The sequence below is a fragment of the Homo sapiens genome, chromosome 12 (assembly GCF_000001405.40).
Source record: "Homo sapiens chromosome 12, GRCh38.p14 Primary Assembly".
NCBI lineage: Eukaryota > Metazoa > Chordata > Mammalia > Primates > Hominidae > Homo > Homo sapiens.
Window position 1 is genome coordinate 22,393,402 of NC_000012.12, and position 3,282 is coordinate 22,396,683.

A 3,282-nucleotide genomic window follows, 5' to 3' on the forward strand; every position below is an offset into this window, starting at 1 on the left:
TCAAGGGATCCTGACTCTACCTCCCAAAGTGTTGGGGTTACAGGTATGAGCCACTGCACCTGGCCCCTGTTTTTACTTTTGATATGAGATAAAGTAACTTTTACATTATATACCATATTCTCACTATGTTGCCCAGGCTGGTCTTGAACTCCTGGCCTCAACTGATCTTCCTGACTCCTCGTTCCAAAGTGCTGGGATTACAGGTGTGAGCCACTGCAACTGGTCCGTTTTACTTTTGATATGAGATAAAGTAACTTTTATACCATAGGGACCTAGTGACAACTTAACTCACACTATCTTTTATAGGAAACAGTCTTTAAAAAGTTTTCCTTGCTCAGCATTAAGCAGTAAAACTCCCCATAGTAGTTCCTGGAGAAGAAATATAATAATCTTGTTAGCTTGCCCTTGATGTTTCAGAACGCTGTACTGTTACTACTTTTTCGTGACACATTATAACAATATTTTAGCACTTGTTATTTTCACAGTGAATAAAGGAAATGATTGTATTAGTATTTATTTACTATGTTTATCAGTTGGGACAGTCCACTTCTCTCATATTTCAACTTTTATTTTAGATTCGGGGTACACATGCAGGTTTGTTACATAGGTATATTGCATGATGCTGAGGTTTGGGGTATGACTGATCCCATCAGCCAGGTAGTGAGCATAATACCTAATAGGTAGTTTTTCAACCCTTGCCCCTTTCCCTCTAACCCCCTGTAGTAGTTCCCAATGTCTATCATTCCCATCGTTAGGTCCACGTGTACCCAATGTTTAGCTCCCATTTATAAGTGAGAACATGTGGTATTTGGCTTTCTGTTTCTGTATTAATTTTCTTAGGATAATGGCCTCCAGCTGCATCCATGTTACTGCAAAGGACGTGAGTTCCTTCTTTTAAATGGCTGTATAGTATTCCATAGTGTATATGTACCACATTTTCCTTATCCAGTCCACCATTAATGGGCACTAAGGTTGATTCCATGTCATTGCTAACAGCACTGCGATGAACATACAAGTGCATGTGTCTTTTGGGTAAAACAATTTCTTTTACTTTGGATATATACCCAGTAATGACATTGCTGGGTCAAATGGTGGTTCTGTTTTAATTTTTTTGACAAATCTCCAAACTGCTTTTCATAGTGGCTGAACTACTTTACATTATCACTAACAGTTATAAGCATTCCCTTTTCTCTGCAGCCTCACCAACATCTGTTTTCCTTTACTTTTTAATAATAGCCATTCTGACTGGTTTGAGATGGCATCTCATTGTGGTTTTGACTTGTGTGTCTCGGATGATTAGTGATGTTGAGCTTTTTTTCATATGTTTGTCGACTGCTTGTATGTCTTCTTTTGAGAAGTGTCTGTTCATGTCCTTTGCCCACTTTTTTATGGGGTTACTTGTTTTTTGCTTGTTGAATTGTTTAAGTTCCTTATACAGTCTGGATGTGAAACCTTTGTCACATGCATAGTTCGTGAATATCTTCTCCTGTTCTGTAGATTGTCTTTTGGCTCTGTTGATAGTTTCTTTTGCTGTGAAGAAGCTCTTTAGTTTAATTAGGTCCCACCTGTTAATTTTTGCTTTTCTTGCAATTGCTTTTACACTTCTGCCATATAACTAAACCATATTTTGATTGTTTTTATTGTGGTGCTGACTTTTTAAAAAATTGTGTTTACATATAATATAAAGTTTAATATCTTAACCATTTTACAGTCCAGTAGTGTAAACTGTATTCACAATATTGCACAACCAATCTCCAGAACTTTGTTTTTGTTGAGTTGCAGAATTTTATATATTCTAGATACTAACTCCCTATCACATATATGATTTGCAAATGTTCTTTCCCATTCTGTAGGTTGCTTTTTTACTCTGCTGCTTGTGTCCTTGCATTTCCAATAGTTTTTAACACCTTATCCTCAAGGCTCAGCCTGAAATGAAGAGGAAAGAAGTCACAGATCTTACCATGTCTTTTTTCTTTCCTTTTTATTCCCCCATGATCTGTCCTTCTTCCCTAATAAACAGTAGCCTTCCTACGTTACAGCCTGTATTCTTCTTCTTCCTGTGATCTCTAGAGTAACTGAAGTTCAGACCTTCAATCTTTTAGGAGCTTGAAAATGTACAAATCTTTTCTCTCTCAACAAACCTTGCCTCTCAAAAGCCCACTTTGACAAGAGTCCTAAATGCATTTGTGCAATACATAGCTTGTTCTGAGATTACTTTGAACACTGCAACTCTTCAGTTCATTAGGTTGAAAATCTCAAGACATCATGATTTAAAGAAGGGGAAGATATATCACTTTACTATTTTAAATGCATATTTTTTACACATTCCAACTTGAAGAAAAACTGCTAAATATATTGTTTCCTTCTCACATACATTCTTTGAATACTACTTGTGTCAAATATTACCTTGTGTTTTGAGAGACTATAATGACTCTCCTTCTAAGCAAGTGCTGACACCTTGGATGACATTCAAATCCAATATTACACAATTGACTTCCAGTAATTGCTTCTCTGGCACTTTTTTCACAGATAAGTGTTGAGTAGTATCCATTGTCTTATAGCCACCCTGAGATCTTCAATGAAGCTATTTTATGGTTTAAAAAAAAATCTTTTGTCTTATTAGAATTTTAACTTGCTTTTTCTAATATTACAATTGCAATGACATGTTTTCTTGTTTAGCAGTACAATTTTACCATGGGATTTCTGGAAGAAGCCTACTCTTTGTACTAGAAGTCTGGCTCTTAAGATCAGAAATACTAACAGTGTCAAGTAGAAAATTATGACATACAATCATAGAGGTTTGCTATTCTAAATATTCTACATGAAGAATTTCTTTATGCAATGACTTGGTAGTGTAGTTTCAATGTGTACATGACTCAATAAAGTATGTCCCTAGAATTTAGGTCCAGTCTCAGGTGGGCATGGAGAAGGAGCAGTTAGTGAGTCAGTGACCACCAGGGCCAGCCATAAGAGTAGGGAGAGAGGAAGGAAATGAGGACTTCTTTAAATTCGGAGTTTAATATCAGCTTAAAGATCTGAAATAACATCCTGCCTATACCTCTATCAGACAGAGGTTTTAAACCATGAGAAATATTTTGTGGTTAGTATAAAAACACTTTCTGGAAATTACCTAATATCATTATTCTGATACTTAGAGTGGCAGTTTTTAAAAGAGGATAAGCTGCCTGTAAGTACTAAGTTTCTTGTCACAGGAAGTATTCACATAGAGTGAGCAAAACAAAAGTTTTGCTTTTAAGAATGGAAATATATTCAATAGTCAGG